Source organism: Homo sapiens, chromosome 8 (assembly GCF_000001405.40).
Source record: "Homo sapiens chromosome 8, GRCh38.p14 Primary Assembly".
NCBI classification, from domain to species: Eukaryota; Metazoa; Chordata; class Mammalia; order Primates; family Hominidae; genus Homo; species Homo sapiens.
The window spans coordinates 117395324-117422202 of record NC_000008.11 but is presented as its reverse complement, the minus strand read 5'-3'; the positions used below and the strand labels follow the sequence as shown (position 1 = coordinate 117422202).

Here is a 26879-nt window from a genome sequence, read left to right as displayed (position 1 = left end):
ATTTGGCTGTGAATCCATCTGGTCCTGGGCTTTTTTTGGTTGGTAGGGTATTAATTAGTGCTTCAATTTCAGAACTTGTTATTGGTCTATTCAGGGATTCAATTTCTTCCTGATTTAGTCTTGGGAGGGTGTATGTGTCCAGGAATTTATCCATTTCTTCTAGATTTTCTAGTTTGTTTGCACAGAGGTGTTTATAGTATTCTCTGATGGTTGTTTGTATTTCTGTGGGGGTAAGTGGTGATATCCCTTTTATCATTTTTTATTGTGTCTATTTGATTCTTTTTTCTTTTCTTCTTTATTAGTCTAGCTAGTTGTCTGTTCTATTTTAAAAAAAAAAAACCAGCTCTTGGATTCATTGACTTTTTTTAAAGGTTTTTTTCTGTCTTTCTTCCATTCCACTCTGATCTTGGTTATTTCTTGTCTTCTGCTAGCTTTGGGCTTTGTTTGCTCTTGGTTCTCTCATTCTTTTAGTTGTGATGTTAGGGTGTCAATTTGAGATCTTTCTAGCTTTCTAATGTGGGCATTTAGTGCTATAAATTATCCTCTTAACACAGGTTTAGCTGCATCCCAGAGATTCTGTTGGTTGTCTCCTTTTTTTCTCATTGGTTTCAAAGAACTTCTTGATTTCTCCCTTAATTTCATTAATTACCTAGAAGTCATTCAGGAGCAGGTTGTTCAATTTTTTTTCATGTAGTTGTGTGGTTTTGAGTGAGTTTCTTAATCTTGAGTTCTAATTCAATTGCACTGTGGTCTGAGTGACTGTTGTGATTTCAGTTCTTTTGCATTTGCTGAGGAGTGATTTATTTCCAAATATGTGATCAGTTTTAGAGTAAGTGTGATGTAGTGCTGAGAAAAATGTATATTCTGTTGTTTTGGGGTGGAGAGTTCTGTAGATATCTATCAGGTTCACTTGACCCAGATCTGAGTTCAAGTACGGAATATCTTTGTTAATTTTCTGTCTTGCTGATCTGTTTAATATTGACAGTGGGGTGTTAAAGTCTCCCACAATTATTGTGTAGGAGTTTAAGTCTCTTTGCCGGCCTCTAAGAACTTGTTTTATGAATCTGGGTGCTCTTGTATTGGGAGCATATATATTTAGGATAGTTAGCTCTTCTTGTTGAATTAACCCCTTTACCATTATGTAATGCCCTTCTTTGTCTTTTTTGATCTTTATTGGTTTAAAGTCCGTTTTGTCAGAGACTAGGATTGCAACCCCTGATTTTTTTGTTTTCCATTTGGTAAATTTTTCTGCATCCTTTTATTTTGAGTTTAGGTGTGTCTTTACATGTAAGATTGGTCTCTTGAATACAACATGCTGATGGATCTTGACTCTTTATCCAGCTTGTCATTCTTTGTCTTTTAATTGGGGCATTTAGCCCATTTACATTTAAGGTTAATATTGTTATGTGTGAATTTGATCCCGTCATCATGATGCTAGCTAGTTATTTTGCAGACTTGTTGATGTAGTTGCTTCATAGTATCATTGGTCTTTGTACTTCAGTGTGTTTCTGCATTGTCTGGTAATGGATTTTCCTTTCCATATTTAGTGTTTCCTTCAGGAGCTTTTGCAAGGCAGACCTGGTGGTGATAAATTCCCTCAGCATTTGCTTGTCTGAGAAGGGTTTTTTTATCCTTCACTTTTGAGGCTTAGTTTGGCCAGCTATAAAATTCTGGTTTGGAAATCCTTTTCTTTAAGAATGTTGAATATTGGCCCCCAATATCTTCTAGCTTGTAGGGTTTCTGCTGAGCAGTCTGTTGTTAGTCTTATGGGATTCCCTTTGTAGGTGGCATGGCCTTTCTCTCTGGCCACCCTTAACATTTTTTTCTCATTTCAACGTTGGAGAATCTGATGATGATATGTCTTGGGGTTGTTCTTCTCATGAAGTATGTTACTGGGGTTCTCTGGATTTCCTGAATTTTAATCTTGGCCTCTCTTGTTAGGTTGGGAAAGTTCTCCTGGATGATATCCTGAAGTATGTTTTCCAGCTTGGTTCCATTCTCCCTGTCTCTTTCAGGTGCCCAAATCAGTTGTAGGTTTGGTCTTTTTACATAGTGCCATAGTTCTCGGAGGTTTTGTTCATTCCTTTTCATTCTTTTTTCTCTAATGTTGTCTGCCTGTCTTATTTGAACAAGATAGTCTTCAAGCACAGAAATCCTTTCCTCTGCTTGGTCAATTCAACTATTGATACTTGTGTTTGCATTGTGAAGTTCTCGTGTTGTGTTTTTCAGCTCCATCAGATCATTTATGTTCGTCTCTGAACTGGTTATTCTGGTTAACAGCTCGTGTAATGTTTTATCATGGTTCTTAACTTCTTTGTGATGAGTTAGAACATATTCCTTTAGCTTACTGAAGTTTGTTATTACCCACCTTCGGAATCCTACTTCTGTCAATTCATACATCTCAGCCTCCACTTAGTTCTGTGCCCTTTCTGGAGAGGTGTTGCGATCATTTGAAGGAGGATAGGCACTCTGGCTTTTTGAGTTTTCAGCACTTTTTCATTGATTCTTTCTCACCTTTGTGAATTTATCTAGCTTCAATCTTTGAGGCTGCTGAACTTCAGGTGGGGTTTTTGTGGGAATGGTTTTGTTGATGCTGTTGTTGTTATATTCTATTTGTTTGCTTTTAACAGTCAGGTCCCTCTTCTGTACTGCTGCTGTGGTTTGCTGGGGATCCACTCCAGACTCTATTTGCCTGGGCCTTTCCCACACCTGGAGGTGTCACCAGTGGAGGGTGCAGAATAGCAAAGGTAGCTGTCTGCTCATTCCTCTGGTATCTCTGTCCCAGAGGGACACTGACCTGCTGTCTGCAGGAACATTCCTGTATAAGGTGTCTTATGACCCCTGTTGGGGGGTCTCATGTAGTCAGAAGGCATGGGATCTGGGACCCATTTAACAAAGCACTCTGGCTGCCCCTTGGCAGAGAAGGTGTGCTGCACTGGGGGGTGTGCTGTACTGGGGGAAATCCCACTTGTCTGGACTGCCCGGATTCCTCAGAGCCACAGGGGAAATGTTAAGTCTGCTGATCCATGGAGACCATGGCTGCTCCTCCCCCGAGGGGCTCAGTCCCAGGAAGATCAGAGTTCTGTCTCTAAATCCCTGGCTAGAGTTCCTGAAATTTCTGCAGGGAGGCCCCACCCAGTGAGGAGGGATGGGTCAGGATCCAGCCTAAAGAGGCAGTCTGGCCATGATCTGCCATAGCTGCTGTGCTGTACTGTGGGGAATTACTCCTGAGTCTGAACCATCCAGTCTCAGTCTCTCCAACACTGGCAGGGGAAATATGGCAGACTGAAGCTGCAGTGATGTCTGCTGCCCCTCCTTCAGAAGCTCAGTCATCTTAGGGAGCAGCAGTGATGATTGCCACCTCTCTCCCACCCCAGGAGCTCAGCTGTCTTAGGGAGCAGGCAGCTGCAGTGATGACGGTTGCCCTTCCCCCTGGGAATTCGGTAGTCTTAGACAGTCTCCAGCCATGTGGCCATGAGAATCTGCACAGCTCTGTGCTTGGGACCCAAGGCCCTGGTGGCATGGCCTCACAAGGGGGATCTTCTGATCCAAGGGTTACACAGATCCCTTGAAAAAGTGTGGTTTCCTGGGTGGGGTAGCACAATCACTCACCACTTCCCTTGGCTGGGGGTGGGAGCTCCCCTTGCCTTGTGTGACTCCCAGGTGGGCCGATGCACCATCTTGCTTTTCCTCACTCTCCATGGGTTGCATCAACTCATAGTCAGTCCCAGTGAGAGAACCTGGATACCTCAGTTACCAGTGCAGAATTCACTCCTCATTTTCCTTCTTCTTGGTGGGAGCCTCTGAGTGCAGCTGTTTCTAGTCAACCATCTTGGCCCCTCTTCAGCCTCCTTTTTTTTAAAAGCACCATGACTTACAGTTTCAGGTGCTAGTTTGCTGTACACAATTACATGTCACTTCGCTTTCCTCTCCATTCCCCACATCTCCATAATATGGAGCTTTAGCTCTAAACTTTCTGGTCCCCTACTGACCCTCTGTGTGCCCTCCCTACCTTGTTCTTTCTCACAACCTAATTCCCAGCTCTCCAAATCCATATCAAGTACTATCTTCACCCTGAAGTCTTTGCTTTTACCATCTTCCCCTCCAGTGCTAAACTGTCTCCTTCCTAACCCTCCTAAAGGATTGACTGTTTTAATATACATACTATGACAGTAGTTTTTTTTACTATTTTACCATATAATTTCTTTAATGAATCTTTAATAATCTTAAGGCCATTTATTCCTTATACTTATTTCTTATTCCCTGCTCACCCTAAACTTATTTTAAGACTGGGCACTTGCCCCCGTTCTCCAAGCCTTATGGAGGTGGTTCACTAGAAGCACTCAGAACTTCCTCAAGCATTCAGGGATGGGCCAACGAGTTATCGTGTTTCCAGGCATCTGTCTGGGTGGGGCTGAGTGGCTTCAGCCATAATGATATTTTGAAAGAAAGTTCAGGGATCATTGATTTTTCTCGTATCATCCTACAAAAAGAACTGTTTGGTTTCTGTTCCCCACCTCCATCACAGTTCTAATTGGAGGCTTTCAGAATCCTATGGGTGAGTTCAGAACATTTTAGCATGGGAATGGTTTAGGGAGCTTGTAATTAACTGGTTTTCCTGGCAGTCTACAGGACTCTTGATCACTACTATCTTTGATCAACATAAATTACTGAATTTCCCATGGGTGAAAAAAATACTGCCAGATAATGAAAGCTTGTTTCAGTTGCATGCCCCAGTCCTCCAGTGAGGCTGATGCATTTGGTTATCCCATCAGTTTCCATTGCAGTTCATCTAAATGTTATTTTTAGCATAGTTTGCATTTTAGATGGCCATTTTTTTTTCCTCTTGGTATCAACATGGATTTTTAAAATAAGAATCCTTTGGCATATTAATATGCCCTAATAAATCAAGTATGTTTTAAAACCACACACAGAAATATTCCATTTGCCATTAAATGTGTTGATACAGTTGATCTTTTATCATATTTTTCTATCTTTTTCTGTAATATTTGTCTATTTTTCTGTTGATCTTTTATAATTTTCTATTTTTGCCTTTTGAGGTCTGCACTTAGGGAAATTATTTAATGTAGAAATTGTGAACTCTGGAGGTTGGTAGGGACAAAGATCAGCAGAAGTGGGCTAGAGGATTTTAAAAGAGAGAGGAGAAGGAAAGGAGAATCTGAAGCCTGGGTACTTCTGGTTTATGGCAATCTTAGCATAGCAGAAATGAAATAATTGAGGGCAGCACTGGTAGTGAGAGGCTGAGTACAAGTGGAGCCAAAAATGAAAAAGAAGCATTTGAGACACTAGAAAAATTCAGAAGAGCTGATGGGAAAAACAGATGATGGTGAAACAATTGACAAAGATGAAGGTCAACTCCAGAATGAAAAGTCAGTAACAGATGAAGAACAAAAATACAGAATTTAAAGAAGAGGCTATACACCTCTTCAACCTCTAAACTCTACCCCTGCTTTCAATAGTGCTTTGTAATTTAACAATAGCTTTCACAGCCAGAAAACTATTAGGCAGAGAGGAAGTGAGTCAGGAACAAAATTGTTTACTAACCAGATAAATGCTACAATTCCAATAGCTACTAAGGCTCTTTAATGAAAAGATTGTTTCCAGATTTTGGCAGAAAATACTTGGCAAAAACAACAAGAGTTCTTTGGGCTTGGCGTGAAGTTCTGTCTATTATATCTTGCCAGGCCAATTTCACACTTAGAAAGAGAGGCAAGAAACTACTGCTTACCCAGGAAGGGGTGTTCACATTGGAAACGGAGAGAGAGTAATATAAGAGTCAAGATTTAAGGACTCATTTTTACTTGTTGTTATTTAATTCACTCATGCAACAAATACTCATTGAACACCTAATAAGTGCCAAACATTATTGTAGATTCTAAGAATAAAAAGCTTATTGATATTTAAGGAATTGCAGTGGGTTATTCCAGGAGTTGGCAGATTATGGCCTGTGGACCAAATCTACCCACTGCCTGTTTTTGTAGTTTATTGACCCATTTATTATGTATTGTCTGTCTCCTTTTGTGTTAAAATGGCAGAGTTGAGTAGATGGAATGAGGATGGCATAGCCTGGGAAAGTAAAAATATTTACTATTATAGTATATATTATATAACTGTCCACTGTTAGTTATGACTTTAACATACAAATGTAAAAAACAGGTATTTGAAATTATGTATTATTCTGTTATTTAATATTCTGTTACATAAATGCTATTATTTCAGCATTTAAACAAAACAGTAATAGCATAAAGTACCAGTGGCAATTAGTAGTAATTAATAGTTGAACTAATTAAATAAATAATGTGTGGGAAAATATAAAAAATTTTATTATTTGATCCTTTACAAAAATAGTTTTCTGACCACTAAATACATACAATGGTCATAATGGAGTTATATTGGCATTTAATAAATTCTAGGAGGAGAAGCCTGGGTGTTAGTGAAAGCTTCAAAGAAGAGTTGATGTGTGACACTTGATTTCAGTTTTGAAAGATTTAAAGGAATTTCTGGGCATGAAGAAATGAGAGTGGTGCTTTGGGAATGGCAGTGACAAAGATAGCAGCGTGAAATATTATGTGAATTTTAGGAATCTGCTCATTGTTTGTACTGGCTAAAGCTTAGCTTTGGGTGGGTGACTAAGAATGAAGGGTTGAAGCTAGACCAGCTGATAGAACACAGATCATACTTGAAAGGGACTTGTACTGAGAACTTCATATGCAGACACAGCATGGCAAGATGCCCAAAATTAATAGCACATAATATCTGCCTTCATGAAGCTCAACCTCCAAAAGGAAGAATGCGACATTAAATAATGCACATGACAGAATGAGATACATATTATAGAAAAGTCCAAACAAAATATAGTGGGGATTTTTTAGTAAGAAGAAATCATATCTGATTGGAGGATCACAAAATTAATTTATATTGATGTCAATAATATATCTTGAAGGATGGCTGTAATTTTTTTGAGGGTAGTGGTGGGGCACATGGGCACCAGGCAAGAAAACAGCATAGAGACCAGGCACTAAAAGGAATGCTAAGAAATTTGGGGTATGTCATAGTCCAGTTTCCCTAGACAACAGAATCGGAGAAAAAAAAACTGTGTGCTAATACTTCACGGGGTGGTGCAATATCAGGGAAGCAGAAAAGAGGGAGAAAAGGGCATGAGGCAGAGATGGAAGGTGTGCACATATGAGGGGGGCATGTCCCAGGCTGGCCCAAGTTGCGTAACAAGGACAGCTGGCTCCTGCATCTGGTGTGGCATTTTCCTGGAGCATCTATGAATTTCCATGTCTCAGAACAGTTTACATGGTAGGGAAGGATGAAGAAGGGAGATAAATCTACTCAATGCCTTTCACTTTTGTTCTACTGACCAATTCATTCCTTGGACATTAACTCCCCTGCACTTCTGAGTTGTGTCACCCCAGCCTCTTGAGTCGTTGCTGGGAAAGTAAGAGCCTCCATGCCTTCAGTCTGGCCAGGGAGCATGCATGCCTATCTCTCTTTGCCAGCCAGTGCCATAAGCAGGGCTCTTCAGTCTGTAGTGGTAGTAGTAGTGACAGTGACCTGCCTCCATGACCTAGGGGAAAGTGCAAACCTTCGCTAGGACTATGCCAGCCAGAAAGCAAGCAAGGTGTTACATATGAGGCCAACAGAGGGAGCAATACATTGCTTGTCTGGAATATAGAGTAGGGACCTAATGGGAGAGAAGACAGGAGAATTTGGAATGTCTTATGGGAGACATTGTTTTTGGATGGGGATCATGTAATATATTAACAAATAAGAAACAGCTAAAGGTTTTCTAGAAGATGACATGATCAAAAGTGTTATTTTGTGGGGGTTAATATGAAAGTGGTACATAAAGGGGATTTATAGAGTATAGAAATTGGAAGAAGGACTATTTGTGAGTTACAAAGAGTCTTAGCAAAAAGGATCAAACTGCTTGTTTCTATACCTTTAGAATGGGCCTTTGAACTCTTTAAAGAGGCCCCTCTCAGCTTTCCATATGAATTATCTTCCTTTGTAAAGGAGGTTGAATAGATATATATATCTTGCTTTAGGAGACAAAATGATCCTCAGTAGTGTTAATTTCTAGGCAACATGTGGATTTTACATGCTTATACATTGATGTGTTTTCATTTTGAAGATCACAGTAAATAGACACTCATTATTTAGACTATTCATGTATAGATAAATAAACACAATTCTTATCTCTTGATCTAGAGCCTGAAGAGGCACAGGCTCAAACACATCTTCCATCCATGATGGGATTTTAAACTACACAGGTGGGTGAGAGAGAAGGAAGCAATTCTGCAATGGAGCATAAATGGACTCTGTACTTTCTTCTTCCTGTCATGGCCTCACCTCTGTGTGAGGGCCCCAAAGAAAGCATCAGTCAGGCCATCAACAGTAGTCAGGGTGTACTGGATGCCAAGCTTTGCACTAGGCACAGGGGAGAGGAAGGCAGAGTTGGTAGGAGACTTTGTCTTGGGAAAAAATGTGATGTAGTTATTGTTCAAGGTCACAGCCACTGGCTTTGACCATTCATAATGGCAACACCAATGATATGTGGGGTCAGATTCTTTCTTTGTTGAGGCCAACACTTCCTTTAGAAAGGAAGATGGTAAAGTACAGTAGTTACAACCATGGGCTCTGGATACAGAATGCCTGAATTCAAATCCTGGTTCCATCCTTAATAGCTAGCATATCTCTGTTTCTTTATATTTAAGTCAAAACTATGATAGCTGTATCCTAAGAGAGTTGCTGAGAGGATGAAATGAAATAATATATATAACTGCTTGGCATAATTATTGTTAATACTTATTACTATTACAAGACAATAATCTCTTCTTTATAATTTTGAAATCCCCAAACTATGGAAAACCCAAAGTTGTTTTGTAACTCATTTGGTGACAAAACCTCACCTGAGGTTATTTAGACCTTTTATGTATCACACATAGTATGAATGTTATTGTTGTCTTAATTGCAAGCATTATGAATTTTATATGTTTTACTGTAGAAATTTGAATGTGTTTAATTATAGGGTTTTATTCTAGGCTCTGATGGAATAGTTTTATATCATTCAGTCCATGTACCGTATTCCTAGTTGATATAGTTTTGCTCTGTGTCCCCACCCAAATCTTATCTCTAATTGTAATCCCCATGTGTTGAGAGAGGGACTTGGAGGAAGGTAATTAGATTTTGGGGGTGGTTTCTCCAATGCGGTTCTCATGATAGCAAGTGAGTTCTCAAGAGAGATGTTTAAAAGTCTGGCACTTTCTCCTTCACTGGCTCTCTCTCTCCTGATGCCACGTAAGATGTGCCTTGCTTCCCCTTTCCCTTCTGCCATGATTGTAAGTTTCCTGAGGCCTCTCAAGCCATGTGTAACTGTGAGTCAATTAAAGCTTTTTTGTTTATAAATTACCCAGTCTCAGGTAGTATCTTTATAGCAGTGTGAAAATGGACTAATATACTAGTCAAAAAGCCCCAAATTTCCAAATTCTGTGAAATACAATTGCCCAAGAATTTCAGGTAAGAGATTGTGTACCTGTGTTAGTTAGAGGTGTGAAATGACAATATAGGTATTAACACTGATTTCTTTTATCCAGCCTACAATAAAAACACTTTAAAAATTCTTAAATTCTTAGGAAACTTTGAATAAACACAATCCAGTGTGTGAATTTTTGAAAAAATTTGATTCTATACATTTTTAACTAAAAGAAAAATTCTAAAAATCTCCCCCCCATTTTGTTTCAGTTTCAGCTCACTGATGTAACAATGGGAACAGTTTGGCATGTATCCTTTTATAACACAAAATATGTTTTAAAAACTTTTAGAAGATGAAAAGAATGTCTTTATTAAAAAGGTTTTATTTTTAAAATGCACTGTTTTAAAAGCGAGATATACTATCCTGAATCACAAATTTTTTTCTTATCCACAAAAGCTTTTCTTCACTTTGAGAACTGATTATATTGTTAACATTACATATTGTACATTACATGTGATATTAAGGTAATATTTTAAATTTGTGTTTAACCTTGAGGAAATATTTATTTCTCAACTTTTATTTTAGATTCAGGGGGTATTTGTGCAGGTATGCTACCTGGGTATATTGAGCGATACTGAAGTTTGGGTTATGAATGATCCTGTCACCTGGGTACTGAGTGTAGTACACCATAGGTAATTTTACAGCCCTTTTCCCTCTTCCTCTCTCCACTCTCTAGGGGTCCCCAGTTTCTGTTGTTCCCATCTTTATGTCCATGAGTACCCAATGTTTAGCTCCCACTTATAAGTGAGAACATGCAGTATTTGGTTTCCTGTTTCTTCATTAATTCACTTAAAATAATGGCCTCTAGTTACATCTATGTTGCTGTTAAGGACATGATTTCATTCTTTTTTATGGCTGTGTAGTATTCCATAATGTATATGTACCACACTTTCTTCATCCAATCCACTATTGATGAGAACCTAGGTTGATTCTATGTCTTTGCTGTTGTGAATAGTGCTGCAATGAACATAGCCTGTGTCTTTTTGGTAGAATGATTTGTTTTCTTTTGGATATATATCCAGTAATGGGACTCTTCAGTCAAATGGTAGTTCTGTTTTAAATTCTTTGAGATATCTCTAAACTACTTTCCACAGAGACTGAACTAATTTACATTCCCACCGATGGTGTATAAGCTTTCCCTTTTCTGTACAGCCTTGCTATCATCTATTGTTTTTTGACTTTTTAATAATGCCATTATGACCAGTATGAGATGATCACTTTGTGGTTTTGCATTTCTCTGATGATAATGATGCAGAGCATTTTTTTTCTGGTTTGTTGGCTACTTGTATGTCTTCTTTTGAGAAGTGTCTCTTCATGTCCTTTGGCCATTTTTTAATGCGGTTGTTCATTTTGTGTTTGTTTAATTGTTTAAGTTTTTTATAGATTCTGGAGGTTAGACTTTTCATCAGGAAATATTTTAAAGGATGTTTATCAAGATAAACTACTTTTGGAAAATGATTTGGACTCAAACATGGGAGACTAGTAATTTAATTATAAACTCTTTAAAAACACTACATTGCATTTGAGAAAACCTCATTAAAAGTTTACCCATAAAAGCTGTGTGATTTTTATCCTAATGGGATGTATTTTAGTATAAATGTTAATGACATGTCTTAAATCCATATAAATGGAGAGCTGAAAGCTTTCTTTGAAATAGACCTTCAAAACATGTCATTTTAGTTACCTAACTTATGATTATTCTAAAGAAAGAGGCAAGGAATACTGCTGAGAAAAATCAAGCCTCTGAAAACTTGGTGATCTACTTTTGGATTACTGATCTTTGCTGCTTTATCTACCTCAAACCTAGGTGAAAGTCTGATTCTGCTTTTGTCCATACACACTGAGTGCCAAATGTGTGTATTTCCAAGCCGTGTCAAATTAGATGTGGGAGGATTTTCATTCCAGAATGCTTACTTTATGTTTCAGCTTCCCTCCCTAACCCTGCCCCAAGGCTTCTGGTTTCTGAAATAAAATATCTAATTGCTTTTTAGAAGTTTTACCTTTCATTTTATAAAACCTCACAGCTTAAAAAAATGTGTCTAAATTTTACTTTGAAATGAAGTGGAACACCCTTTGATTATTTTCTAAAAATTTTCCCTTGGCCAAACTCTCTATAATCCTAGAGTTACTCCTTGATCATACATCAACCATATCTCAAAGGTGTCTATAAGAGATTCCTTATGGCTAGATAAAAATAAGGGGATATTATGAGGGGAGAGATTATAAGAGGACTACATCATTAGAAATGTAATTGTCACCCTTTAAAATCATCTTTATGGTGCTGTTTAGAGGTTAACTAAAGGACATAAATTAACAAACCTGTACAACATGAAAATTACTGATGGAATATATTGGGGTTTTAGGCAACCTAATAGAGTATATTATCGTGTTTCTTGCCTGAGTTCTGATTTCACTGAGAAAGACAAAAATTTAAGCAGACAAACATAAAGATTCCTACTTCATTATTGATGGAATTACTGGAAATTGAGGCTTAGGCCCTGTGAGAAAACAATGGGCTTCCTAATATGTAGCCACATTAATACAGACTTATTCACTCAATGTCAAGTAGCACTGGTCAACCACTGATTTTCCACAACAAAAGGACAAGGTTGCTACTGTGAAGCTCTTTGTATGACCAAGAACAAAGTAGAGTATATTTTCCTAAAATCACATAGATCCAAAGAAGAAAGGCAAAGGGAAGGGACTCAGTCAAACATGACCAGTTTTTGTTCCTAAATTTGCTATTCAGATACTTTAATCCTCCTCCCATTAGGAAAAATTAGTGAGGATGCAGAGGAAGCCAAGAATGTTACTCTAATAGAAACATTAAGAGTAAAGAAGGTCCCATTTAATAATGTATAGTCCTAATAAAACAATAGAAAGGGTATGTTTAACATTTGCATTGGCATTCCTGCCTCTGCTCTCTCCATCCAAAACGCATGTAGATAACCTACAATCAGGCATTTATCTTCTATATAAAGTTGAAGGTCGTTCTCTGAACAAACTGCACCTATTGTCAGGATATATTAAATCCAGGTGTCACAAGGTAAACTTTTACAGGCACAGTAATGTAGACTACTTGTAGTTTAGATTACTTATATTTAGATCTCAAATTTCAGCAGTACAATCCTAGCTTGCAGTCTATACACAATATATTTTACTTCATCAGGGAACCATGGTGGAATCACAGAACTTTAGCAAAATCTGGCTTCAGGGCTCAGAGTGCAAGCTTTCAGCAGGGTTCTTCAAAAAGATACATGTGCTTAGTGGGTGAGGAGCGCACAACTTTCTCAGCTGTCAGATTATATCATACTCTCCCTGTCTGATCAGGCAGTAATGAACAATGGCACCAAGGAGTCTGGTTTCTGCTTTTTATCAGGAAACAGCTTTTCCTGCTTTGGCATCAAAACCATATCAACAAAAGCCCAAACCAGAACACACAGCTCAGTGGAAGATGGATACGCCCATGTTTTCAAGGTAATACCAGCATTTTACCTGGCTGAACCACCTCTGGCACAATTCACATATTAAATATAAGCCTTTCACTATGGAAGACGTTCACTCTATAGTAGCATGGAAATCTATCCTCCAAGGATTGCATGCCATTTGTTTCAGACAATATTCTTTTGTGGTACTTAATACACAAGGTAAAAGTGAGGGAAGACACACAGGAAAGAGGACATGAACAAATTTAGTAAGTTTAAAATATTAGCAAAGCTAATGTGTCAAGTTTAACTGAAAATCACAAGTAGCATGTCTGAGAGCAATGAGAAATCCTGAAGAAATACAATGATCAGAGAAGAAACTATTCTTCCTCAAGCTAGTTTTATTGCTCATTCAGATGGAGTGTATATAGAAAATAACACACAATTACACATGACAGGTCAGTCATTATGAGAGCACTGGTATACATCTCAATGCCATTGTTTTCTATTCTGTTTGATACAGAACATATATTTCCTATATATTAACTCACTATTTGGTTGAGTAAATAAAATTTTCATTCTCTTAATTAGGTAAAAATTATTCTGATATAGTAGTATCTTGAGCATATTGTAGCTTCTTAGTAGGTAACTTTCCAAATCTTGACTGCCAGAAATACTATAATCTTCTTCAGCTTCCCAATTGCATTTCCTGGAAACAAGTGAGATAACAGATTTATATCATCTAATGCCTGGTATATACTATGCCCTCCATAAACAAGAGCAGCCAGGCCCCATTTGTGAATCAATGCTCATCTCAGATCCTGAGACACTCCTGATGAGAGCAAGAAGTATGCTGGAAGCCTCACCCTCTCTACCCCCATCCAGTGGCCCTTGGAACTAAGTCTCATGTCTCAGACCCCAAGTCCAGTGTCTGAGCTATGATTGATGGGATGCCACATGCCCTCTGAGCTACCTTAATGCCAACCTGGCTCAGGACCCCATGTACCAGGAATGAGCATCTGTGGAGCCCTAAACAACAGCCTTTTTCCTTCCACTTATATATGGGTCCCAGCCAAGGGTAAGAACTTCTTTGTTTTTATTTTGACCTTCATAGTTTCTGCTTAATGTCCCTGATTAGACACCAAGTCAAGCTTAGGGTATTGCCGTGAATGCCTGGCTCTTACAAGGTTTCTGTTCCAAAGCTGAATTCTGCTCCCCTATATTTCTACCCAATTGTGAGAAATCCACATGGACAAACCTAGTGTCTATTGCTCTTTGCCTCTTCCAGATATCATTCACCACTGGGATCTTCATCCCTGTGTGCCACAGTTCAGATAGACACTGGCAATTGCCTGAATCACCTCAGGTCTTGAGGCTTTTTGGAGTTTCTGTGTCCGAGATGCCCCCGCTCGTGTCCTCCTACATTATGGTGACACTGATGCTACTGAAATGTTTTCTCACCTCTCTACAAAAGATGTCTTAGTGTCCCAACTTGCATCTTACCTCACCTTTTCTATGACAACACTGATTTTCCAGACTAGGCTGCAAATGGACTGATCTCTAAGTACAAACTATGGGATTAGAGTAGAAAGAAAGAGGGTCATGAGCTGCATCACTCAAAGATGTTTGTAAGTTGAATCCCAGTCCCTCAAACCCAAACCAGCTGAGGAAGTGATTTTTCTTTTGTTTTTGGTTCTCAAGAATTGCAACCCCTTCAATATTTTATTCATTAGATTTATTTTCCTTATTTTTTTTCTGAGCTCAGAACTTCTGTGCAAGATAGAATAAGAAAACTGCAAAACCCCTTCAGGGCACAAATCAGGAATTGTTTCATTTGCTTTTTTTTTATTTTTATGAAGTCCAGGATATAGGTCTTGATGAAGCCACATCAGCTCTTTTTCTCTTTTCTGTTTTTCTTTTAAACAGAACAAACTGCCAGCAGGATTCCTGTTTCTGAGGGTAGGAATTGCTTGTACGCATTTCCCATAAGGATTCTAACAGGAGGTTTCTCTCTGCTAAGGCAAAGGGCTCGTTGTATTGCCAATTTTGGGCATGTAGCCAGAATAAGTCTGAGATCCCTTATGCCCACCAAGACACCCTTCCCTGTATCTGTACAGTCTGATTTGCTTGAGAAACATAGTTCATTTCTGTAATTATCTCAGAATGGAGAAGTTTAAGTCTGTGTAATTACAGTGTTCATGCATATTGAGGATTCTCTCAAGTTTGGATGTCAACAGGGTGCCCAGGAAAAGGCTGACTGGTGAATCCAAGTTTTGAGACCACAAGCAGGGTGAAATGTAGGAGGCCCCATAATGGCCTTCTCAAGCCCAGTTCCATATTGATCAGTGCAGCTGTGAGAGGCTGGGAAGAGCAGCAGCAGCCGTCTTTCCTAGGCTAATTTCCTTTGAACAAACATATGAACAAGGAGGCTTTTTAGGTGGTATCATGGTTAAAACAGAGACAACCAGACTAAAGATGTCTTTATCTATGGCATACAATGCATGAATAATCATAATTGTGATAATAACCTTTTATTATACTAAATGTATTATAGCATTTAGTATTATAGCATATAGTATATTAGCATTTAATATACTAAATGTTGTGTATACATTGCATCAGCAGTATTTTTTAAGTGTTTTCTAGTTGCCACACATTCTTCTAGATACTAGGGATTCAGTATGAATAGCTAAAACAAACATGGCATTTTCTTCTGGTATAAAAACAAATATATTTGGCTACATATGAAAGCAATGTTAACAGTGATCCCATTTTCAGTTGTGAAGAGCAGAGATATACCAGCCATCAGTTTAAAGCATTTATCTCCTCCTTGAGGACAAAGTGTTGTCCCCAAGCAGATGGCTTAGCTGAGCCTTTAATAGGTCTTCCCCCATCATTATATTGGTCTGGTTGCTTCTGAGTGATATGGTAAGATTTCATGGGCAGTGGTCCACTATTATAACTTCTATACTGTAAAATGCATCCCTTTAATGGACAGTGCTGAGCGGAATCCCATGTCCATAAATCAGGCATGCAGAAAGCCCTTGGGTGATGGTCCTGAGAGACATACAGCAGGCAGGGAAGGTTAAGACATATCTGGAATAAGTGTCAGTTTATTTAAGGGTGAACTGATAACCCCTCTAAAATGAAAGAGGTGTGATGTAATCAAGTTGCTACAAAGTGATGGAAGATCTCTTTGGGCGTTAGTGCTATATAAAGGGACATAGTGTTGGTCTTTTGCTGGCAGTTTGGACATTGAACAGTATCAAAAGATAGTCTAGCCTTGATCAGAGGGACCCCAAACTTAGAGCCCATGCATAGCCTTCACCTCTGTCACCATGGCTACTCAGTTCATGGCTCTATTGCATAGTCACAAGAGTGGCTAAGGGTAGAGGCTTGCTGACAACCAGTGGATGCATCATCTTGTCCACCCAGTTAAGTGCTGCCTCTGCAATGGATGGTCTGTGGTGGACATTATTAACATTAGATAAAAAGATCAACATGGATTTTGACCACTTCCATGGGTACATCTACATACTTCTTTCCCAGCTCCCCTTGTCTCTGATCTAATCTTTCTCTTTCCTAGCCGATGACCAAGCATCCATGCCTTTTAGGAGTCCTCAAAGATCTGTGTCTGTCGTTATTTTGAGGTACTTCTCCATTCCTGCAAAGGGAATGATCCAGTGTACTGCTCATACTTCCAGTGTAGAGGATTCACTCTCACTACTGTCCTTTAGTGCCAAGTCTAGATGGGGCTGTATTGATGTAGCAGTCCATTTTCAGCTCAAATCAGCATAGCAGGAGGTAAAAAACAACATATTGTGGACCAGCTCTCAGGCTTTTTCTGCCTTCATCATGTAGTCGTAGGAAAACTCTCATCATGTGGGGCCATAGTCATGAGCTTCAGAAAAAGCATCACTAATATGTTGAGGCACACCTTCATTAACTTACTTATATCTCCTGCTTGGGCCTGATCCAGAACAGATCATTTCTATTGTCCAGTGTCTAGTGGATTGCTGCTGTACCCACCCGATGTTGCGATTAGGAGAATCTGATAATACCTAGCTCGTGTTTGATGGCTTCACTTACCAGGTTGCCTGTTGTTAGGTACTCAGTCTTTACCAGGATCCAACAGCACTCCAGGTGGTGTCTTTTAAATAGTAAGTCATTCTCTACCATGGAAGGCATCTGTGTGTCTCTTCTATTGAGGTTTGCCAGAGATTCCAAATGGCATACTTATCTATCAGAGGGCATCATTGACTCTGCCAGGTCATGTGGCCCAGGTTGCAGGAGAGTTGATACCACAAACAAGACCTGCTGCAGGATTTTCTCTTGCTCTGGGCCTCATTCAAAACTGTCAGTCTTTTCAGTCTCCAGATAAACCCAAAGGAGAACTATTTCCAAATGTAGTCAGCATGTTACCTTCAAAATCCACAATGACACACTAAGTGCCATGGCTCCTTCTTGATAGTAAAAGGTACAAGATATAAAATCTGCTCATCCTTAGAGGGGATGTCCCAGCCTATCTTAGACCACTGGACTCCTAAAAGCATCACTAACATGGTAAGCAGCTAATTTTTCCTGTGGTTTATCTCCAGTCCTCTGACATGTATTTATCCTGCCAGAGATCTAGAGTACTTACTACTTCCTTTTCACCAGATCTTATTAACATGATATCATCAATATTGTAGACCAATATGATGTTCTGAGGAATGCTAATGTGATGAAGGTTCCTGCTGACTACATTGTGTCTGAGAGCAGGAGACTTATATAGCCCTGGAAAAATTAAGTGAATGTATAATGTTGTCCTTCCTACAAAAGAGAAAACTGCCTTTGATCCTCCTTCGTGGTACAATTGGAGAACACATTCACCAAGTTGGTAGCCTCAGACCAGTACCAAAGCCTCTGTTGATCTGTTTCATAAGGATTTTACATCCAGCAGAGGAGCTGTGAGGGTGATCATAATATTTGGTGACGTTTATAAGAGTCCACTGTCTTCTACCACAACTAATAGGTTTTATTATTTCTGGTCCCATACAAGTGAATTGAATAAGAATATGTAGGAACTATCGTCCCTGTATCCTGCATGTCTGGTGGTAGGGCTGTCTCCAGAATTCCTTCTGGAATGCATTATGATCTATGCTTTATTATCTTGGCAAGGGTGGAGGCAATCTTAGGAGTTTCCTATAATTTTGACTCATATTCCATAGGTCAGGGAATAACAACATCTGCCAGCTGTTTAGTATATCTATCCCAATTATATACTTGAGAATTGGGAAATACGTCTGTGGACTCAATGAACTCACTGTGGAATGAACTTGTATCAGAAATCTGTTTATTACTTGGATTCTGTGAGCCTCCACTCCACTGGAGCTCCTGGATGGTATTTTGGGACCCTGAATGGTGTCAGCTCAGACCCTGTATTCAACTGTCCTTGAAAGGTCTAGATGTTCTATTTTCCTCTTGCACAGCTACTCTGGAAAATTTATCTGGGGAGATATTTCTTACATATACAAATGATGATATTATAGAGTCCTTCCTCAAGGAAACCAAGCCTGCCCTTTGATCAATAACCTCTGGGTCTGTAAACTAATTTAGATCCGGAAATTTGGTGAAGGACTAGTTTTTCATTGTGTTAGCTGACATTGGACAGTTCTCAATTTTGGGCATGTCAGGGAAGGGAGGGATTTACGTTAATTCAAATTGAATAGCACTCTTGTGGGCTGTCCATCTATCTTGTCCCCTGGAATATTCTAATCTATGATTCATTACCATAGATCCCTTCAGGTAAAGGCATCTTGATTTCTACCTGGCTCTTTCCATTATGATAGTCACATCTACTTTGCTTCTGAAAATTAAGTGCTGCCCGTGGGCCTTTGTTCTTCTGGGATCATTTTATAAACACGCCAATACAAAGCAGCCCAGTGCCAAGGTAGCGGACTCTACTATCACAACAACAGATGGAAGCCTCCACTGGGCTTCTCAAATCTGTTCATCTTCAGCAGAGCCTTCATGGCCTTAGTAAAGGAGTTTCTATGGGTCCTTCAAATGAACAGGCAGTTAGTGGGGTTTGCTCTCGCATAATAAATCCATTCTAACGTTTTCACTTCCTTCAGCCTTTTGGCTCCTTCATTGTTCTGTCTAAACAGTTCTGGCATCTCCACCTCATTTACTCTGCACTGTTATTGTGTACCGCCTTCAATGAACCATCCCAGCAGTAGGTTAGGACTGGTTCCAGAATCTCTTTGCCAGGACAGTACCTCCTGGATCCTTGTTCAGACTGTGCTGAGAAGAGACCCAAGTTATTGGTATTGGCAAAAAGGAGTGAGTGGTGGTGGATCTTGAGAAGAAAAAGTATCACTTTGTAAGGCATATTCTTCAGGTGAGGCCTTTTCAAGGTGTCTAGGCAACTGGAAGTTTTTCTTTGAATAAGGAGATAGTGGTGTCCTTTTGCCAGCCTGGAGTGTTCAGGAGGATCTGGTGGTTTAGGATTCTCAGGTTCCTCCACTCATTGGTTGAGACATGCCCTGGGGACATTAACTTTCCCTCACTTTGAGGCTGCACATGAGGGCAGAGCATGCTTTTCTCAGGTCACCATGCCACTGTGCTAGATAAGACCTGGGGCTGCAAATGAAGAAGAGGTGGTTCTTGCTTAAGGCAGGAAGCTGCCAGTAAGGCAGAGGCCATAAGTACTATTTGCTATAACTAGAGCTGGAGTCAGAGGTGAAGTCAAGCCAATACAAGGCAGTTTACAGAAGTCTCTGGAATAAATAGGAAGAAGACTCATCTATGTTGAGTAAATTATCCAAGATGATACATGTATGCCTAGCCTAGAGTTGGAATAAAAAGCTAGGCTATCTGATTCCAGACACCATCTCTTAACCACTGCTACTCTTTATTTAGGAAAATCAAACAAATTTTATAGGAATGAACATATTAACACTGAAGTGGGTGGGCAGAGCTTAGCTCAGCAGCCATCTGAATGCTTCACCTTAGCTTCCAAAAGAGTCTAGCTGCCTAGAAAGTTTCTGATCCAAAGTCTCAGTGCCTTCTGTAAATTCCAAGCCTGGTAATTCCTTTCACTGTCTGATATGGTGAAATTCCCTAAGGAGCTCCATGGTCTTTGCAACTTCCCCTGATCAAGTCTAAGTTCTTTGAACACTAAGCTTTCTACCACTCCAAAACCTTTGTTCTTTCTGTCACTTCTGTCAGGAACTTTCTTTCCCTGTCCTTTTGCATGGTGGCCAGGCTTTCATCCTTCCAGGATCAGTTCAAGTGCCATGAGAGGCTGCCTCTGACTACCTCATGCAAAGAAGCACATACCACCCCTCTCCTTAATAACCCTCGACACCATTATCCTGGTAATGTTCTTTATTGTACCATCACATTCTTCAACTATCTTGTATTTGTGTATAAGGTTATTGTTTGGTTCCTTCACTAGAATGAAAACACATTGTTTAAGAATAGGCTATTTGGCCGGGTGCAGTGGCTCGCACCTGTAATTCTAGCACTTTGGGAGGTTGAGGCGGGCGGATCACCTGAGGTCAGGAGTTCGAGACCAGCCTGGCCAACGTGGTGAAACCCCATCTCTACTAAAAACACAAAAATTAGCCGGGCCTAGTGGTGCATGCCTGTAATCCCAGCTACCTGGGAGGCTGAGGCAGGAGAATCACTGGAACCCGGGAGGCAGAGGCTGCAGTGAGCCAAGATTGTGCCACTGCACTCCAGCCTGGGTGACAGAGCGAGACTCTGTCTCAAAAAAAAAAGGCCATTTTTCTATTCTCTTTATCACCGTGTCCCTTGTCCTTAAATAGTGCCAGGTAGATAGAAGACACTCCAGAAATATTTGCTGGATGAATAAATGAAAGCCATTAAACCATTGGTTTGTCCCTAATGCCTATGTATGGCTTTACAGTAATTACCAAATCATTTAGAAACCATGAGAGGTGAGCATCAGTGGAGATTTACTTAGTAAGCGGGGCCAGTATCAACCAATGCACTGCACAGAACACAGAATAGACATTATTACCTTCCTCATGCACTTCTATCTAAACATGACAAAATATTGAGCAATTAGACCAGTCATATTACCAAATGTATGGACAAAAATTTAGGTGCTTAACAAGAGCCTCAGGGATAAGGTGCCCACTCCTTATCTATTCTCTCCTCTGGAAAAGCATTGAGGTGATGTTGTCCATTAACAGGTGACATCTTTGTCCTTGGCCATAGGAATGAGATACAAAACTGAGTTGCATGCTAAGAGGTTCAAGGTATTCTCTTGTACTTTACTCTTTTAAATCACTCGCACCTCCTTTGACCTTTCTTTTTCAAAATTATTGGACTTGTAGCTTTCTACATTGGCTTTCTTTTCAATTCTTGCCTTGACTTGATTTAGAACTTGTCTCCAGACCATATGCTTCATGACTGCCTTTGAAATTCCATCGAAGTCTTCAATTAAGAGTTATTTCAGATCTTACTATCTAGCTGCAATCCCAGTCCAGCTTCTGGTGCTTGGCTTTATAGACCAGATATGTAGTTTGTCCAGAAGAGACTAACTGATAAATTGATGTATATTTTAAATTTGTAATACCCCAAATTAAAACATTAAATATTGAGACAACCTCAATGATAAATGAATAATAAACTTGGGAAGCTGAATGATCATTTTATTGTTGAGCAAACTTCATATCAAAACATGGAATATGATAGTTTGGGGGTATATTTTATATGGGGTCAGAGGACCACTAGCTATAAGAGCTTGAGTACGGGACTCAAACTTTTGAATTTTCAATTCCTTCATTTATTAAAAAATGTAAAAAATAGTATTTACCTCGTGGGGTTATAGGATGAACCAAATAAATGCACATGAAGCCTTTAGCATAGCATGTGGCCCATAGAAAGCACTTGATAAATGTTAGCTGTTAATGATAACAATAAAAATGTGCTTGGAATATCTTTCCCTACTTCCCCACCAGGAAATCTTTCATCCTTCAAGATTGTTCAAGATTGCTTTGCTCTGTTTCCCCTACAGGTAGCCTTAGTCATCTTCCTTGCTGAGACTCCATTGTTCATATTTCTATACCAGTGATGATATTATTATTCATGTCTGTATTACAGGGACTAACCTATGCTAGTTATTCAATAAATCCTGATTGAATAAATGCATACCCTCTGCATATTAACCTTGACCTCACCTGACTCCAGCAGTGGCTTATTGCAAAGTAAAATTTCTGAAGCTTTAAACTGTTAAAGAAATTACTGTTTTACAAGAGCCAGAAACATACAGAAATGACTTCGCACTCAATACCTGGGCCAACTTTTTGTTCTCTGGGCTTTTTATGGGTGGGAAGAGATCTCAGCGTTCAACCCTGAAAAAAAAACAAAGTCTTAACTTTGCTAACATATTTTGAAAAAGACTGGCCTTGGAAGTAAAGGCAGGATCTTGGATCTTGGATTCACTCTTAGTAAGTGCTTCTGCCTGAGTTCTGAAAAAACAGTTGCAGGAAAATTGCCAATAATTCCAGTATATAACTAAGACAAGCATTTTCTAAAATGTCTGTTGCTAAAGTCAGATCATAGCTCACTCATAATGCTCTTAATATTTAATTTAATCAATTAATCGCCTGGCTAGTAAACGTCGTCTTCATCTTAAATCTGTTCTCTTGGACTGTCATAATAGTCTCACAGGTTCAGAAATGCATAAAATTTCTCACTCCTCCCAACGCTCAGTGCAGAATGAAAACTCTGTGACCTTTAAGACCTTTCCAACTCTGAAATGTTATAATTCTGTGATTCCCTCAGCCAGATAAAATTTTATTAGTTTTAATAGTTCACACCAGGATAAAAGAAGTGATCTTAACCGTTCAGGAGTAACTTGTGATGCTGTTAAAAATCTATTGGGTGATTCAATAAGAGATGCCACAGAGCTCCTCAAAATATGCAGCTATGGCAATTTTGCCAAGAGGAAGAATCTAGAAGGCCCAAAGCCTCAGAGATTATTGAAGCCAAACTTACTTCTCCTGTACCATCTTGAGACAAACACCCTTTTAGTATGCTCAGCCAACCTGTTTTGTAAACTTCCCATTTCAACATCACTTTGCCTCTCTTTACACTGTATATTGCCTAGAAATAGTACCAAATGAATGATCAACAGAAAATAAATCTGATGAATCACCTTGATCTCTCTCTCTCTCTCTCTCTGACTCTTTTTTTTTTTCCTGAGAGATTTTATTTCTGCCAGTCTCCCTAGGAGTCATCTCATGAATCATCTAACTTCCTCTGAGAATATTTGCTCTCAGAGGCTGTGAACCCTCCAGGGAAAGTTGTTTCTGGCTGAGATGCAGGCTGTGCAAATCATGAAAATGATTTAGCTTTAGCTGAAAAAGCACTACCCAAAATTTAACACCATCTATTTCTTTGCTCTTCTGTTTGGCTATTGTGACTTTGCATTTATTCTTTCATTCATTCTTTAATTCATCTTCTCCCTGCTCATTTACTCTTTCAATTATAATTCAACATTAACCAACTCCTGGAAATTTCACTTCAGTTGCACAAATGTTACTTGATTTACTATTTTGCTTAAAATTGGGTACACAAACTAAATAATGCATTTCTATCTCTAACATCTTTTTGATACATTACTCTAGTAATATGTCTTATTAAAATATGAGTTATGTATACTTTTAATTGAGCCATTGCTGGGGTCACAACCATGAAGCATCTTACTAAGTGCCAGGTACTCTGCTTAATTTTTCATACAGTATCTCCTTGAGTTTCACTATAACCCTATGAGAAGCTATATTATTTTTTGTTTCCTGATTACAAATTCCGGCAAGGTTAACATCAAGCCTTATTTCTCATCCTGTTCTTGATTGCTACACCTAGTGTCTGGCATATTCATTCATGAAGACATTTTTAAAAAATTTATCAATTATCAAGCCCACAGTGGATTGGGCACTATGTTGGCCCCTGGGGATGAAGCTAAGTGCAAGGTAAACATCCATCCCTGCCTTTATAGAGCCTATAGTCTAGCAGGGGTGATAATAAATATTTGATGAATGAATAAGTGAATGCAGAGGCCAAGGTTAAGAGAAGTTAAATAATTTCTGATTAGTAACAGAATTAAGATTCATGCCCAGATTTGAGTGGCTCCAACTCTATGCACCTCACATAAAACAATTTTAGGCAGAATATTTGACCTCAAGGAGCTCACAATCTAGAGAGGAGTAAAGAGTAGGAGAGGATAGGAACGTAAGTAACCACATAATTACAATGTATATTATTTAACATTTAGCAAGTCCTTCCTATGTACCAAGTACTGTTTGAATGGCTTTCTACATAATGAATTTTTAAAGTCTTAGAACAATCTTTGGGGCAAGTAATATTTTATTGCCATTCTACAGACAATTAAAAGGGACAGAGAGAAGTTAAGTAAGTCTCCTGAGATCACCCAGCCAATAAGTAGTAGAATTTGTATCCAGGGAGTCTGATGCAATAATGTATGGTCTTATCACCATGTCATACTATACCTTTTAGTGTGGTAGTGTTCAGGAACTGTGCTAGTCTCTTTGGATTCAAAAACAAATAAGATATGGCCTCCATTCTTGATGAGCTCAAAATCAAATTTAGAAGACAAATGTAAAAACATTATTATCACGAAGGATACGCTGGTAAGCTATGCTTTATTTTTTCCAAGAGAAACTATTCTGAACTCAAAGAGTACCTGGTGTCTGGGGTAGACTGAATTACTGGTCCCTATATTCACACTTTTACCATGGCCTTGGTGTGAGCTGAATATATTTCCCAACAACTTGACTTTGACCATATGACTTGCTTTGGCCAATGGCACGTTGGTGGAAGAGACAGCATGACACTCCTGACCCTAGGCCTTAAGCATCACAGGTTTCTGCTGTTGTCTTAACCCTCTGATATCTTCATGGGAAGGACATGTCTTGGCTAACCCCCTGGTCCATAGTGAACTACCTGGCTGACCAGCAGGCTTACAGTTTGATACAGAGATACCTAGATCCAGGCTCTTCTAGCCTAGATCAGTTGACCCCTGGGCTATGCGCTGATACTTAAACAGCAAAACTATCCCAACCAACTTGCAGGAACATAAGAAGCAAACACTTTTTTTTTTCTTTTTTTTATTATACTTTAAGTTTTAGGGTACATGTGCACATTGTGCAGGTTAGTTACATATGCATACATGTGCCATGCTGGTGCGCTGCACCCACTAACTCGTCATCTAGCCTTAGGTATATCTCCCAGTGATATCTCTCCCCCCTCCCCCCACCCCACCACAGTCCCCAGAGTGTGATATTCCCCTTCATGTGTCCATGTGATCTCATTGTTCAATTCCCACCTATGAGTGAGAATATGCGGTGTTTGGTTTTTGTTCTTGCGATAGTTTACTGAGAATGATGATTTCCAATTTCATCCATGTCCCTACAAAGGACATGAACTCATCATTTTTTATGGCTGCATAGTATTCCATGGTGTATATGTGCCACATTTTCTTAATCCAGTCTATCATTGTTGGACATTTGGGTTGGTTCCAAGTCTTTGCTATTGTGAATAGTGCCGCAATAAACATACGTGTGCATGTGTCTTTATAGCAGCACTTATCATGATATGTGTGAGTTTGCTCAGGCCCCCATAACAAAATACCACAGACTTGGTGGCTTACACAACAGAAATCCATATTTTCATTGTTCTGGATGCTAGAAGTCGAAGACCAAGGTGTTGGCAGGTTTCATTTTGTCTGGGGCCTCTCCCTTTGCTTGCAGAGGACTGCCTTCTCAGTGCGTACTCATAGGATATTTCCTGTGTGTATACACATCTGTGTCCTTGCCTGCTCTTCTTATAAGGATATCAGTCATATAGCATTAGACCTCACCCTTATGCCCTAGGGTCAGAAGTGTCATGCTGTTCCTTCTACCAATGTGCCATTGGCCAAAATCATGACCTTATTTTCTATTCATTATCTTTTTAAAGATTCTATCTCCAAAAAACAGTCACATCCTGAGGTACTGGGAGTTAGTGCTTCATGACTATGAATGTAAGGAACAATTGAGCCCATAACAATACAAAATGCCTCTGAGATTTTATATTCTTTCTTATGCAGCAAGAGATAAAAAAATAGGTAAAATATAAATAGATAAAAATATAGACAGATTTCTCCAAAGAGATAAGGTGACTTCTGGGCATAAAAATATAGAGTTCCCAACTCTTTTTCTCCAATATTAAAAGTTATTAAAATCTCTTGTAGTGGACACAGGTAGCCCAGAGCAGATCTTATGACATGGAATGGCCTCTGAGTTATGCTCATTGCAGTAGGAAAAATACGATCAGTGTGCCCTAAACCAAGATGAGTGGATAAAAGGGGAAGAGTAGTTCTACGTCCATGAGGTTCTGACCCAGCCATCCAGGTAGTAGGTTCATGACCTAAGAAAATAGCTATTCAAGTAAATTTAAAAGCCAAGAAGCTGTCAGGCCAGACTAAATCTGGCATGAGCTGCTAAAGTCTATGTGTAATATTGGTGCTTCTATGTTTCAGGGCCAGTAGCAACAACCTCCAGGAGGTGGTTCCTCAGCACAAATGAGCACTCCAACGTATCCTTAGACACATAATAGAAAGGAAATATTTTTGAAAGGTAGAGTAAGACTAAATTGGACATTCAGGAGTTTCATAATTATATTCTAATTGTACTGTTGCTCCTCAAACTTGAGTCCTTAGACCAGCAGCATCAGCTTCACCTGCCAACATGTTAGAAATGCAGCATCTCAGGCCCCAAACCATCCCACCTGCTAAATCAGAATCTATATTTTAGCAAGATCTCCAGGTGCTTCTTAGGCACCTTGAAGTTAGAATGGCTCTGGTGTAGATAAAA

General features: G+C 39.3%; 1 long non-coding RNA gene across 7 annotated transcripts in view; it reads left to right on the top strand.

The window, feature by feature from the left end:
• The window catches only part of LOC105375716 (uncharacterized), a 436284-nt gene that overhangs the window by 98518 nt on the left and 310887 nt on the right, over positions 1-26879 (top strand). Inside the window, exon 5 of one of the 7 annotated variants that reach the window (XR_928571.2) lies at positions 12942-13039. The exons of the other annotated variants lie outside the window; for them this stretch is intronic. This is a non-coding gene — a long non-coding RNA (uncharacterized LOC105375716). The remainder of the gene's footprint in view (positions 1-12941; positions 13040-26879) is intronic. 7 annotated transcript variants of the gene reach the window in all.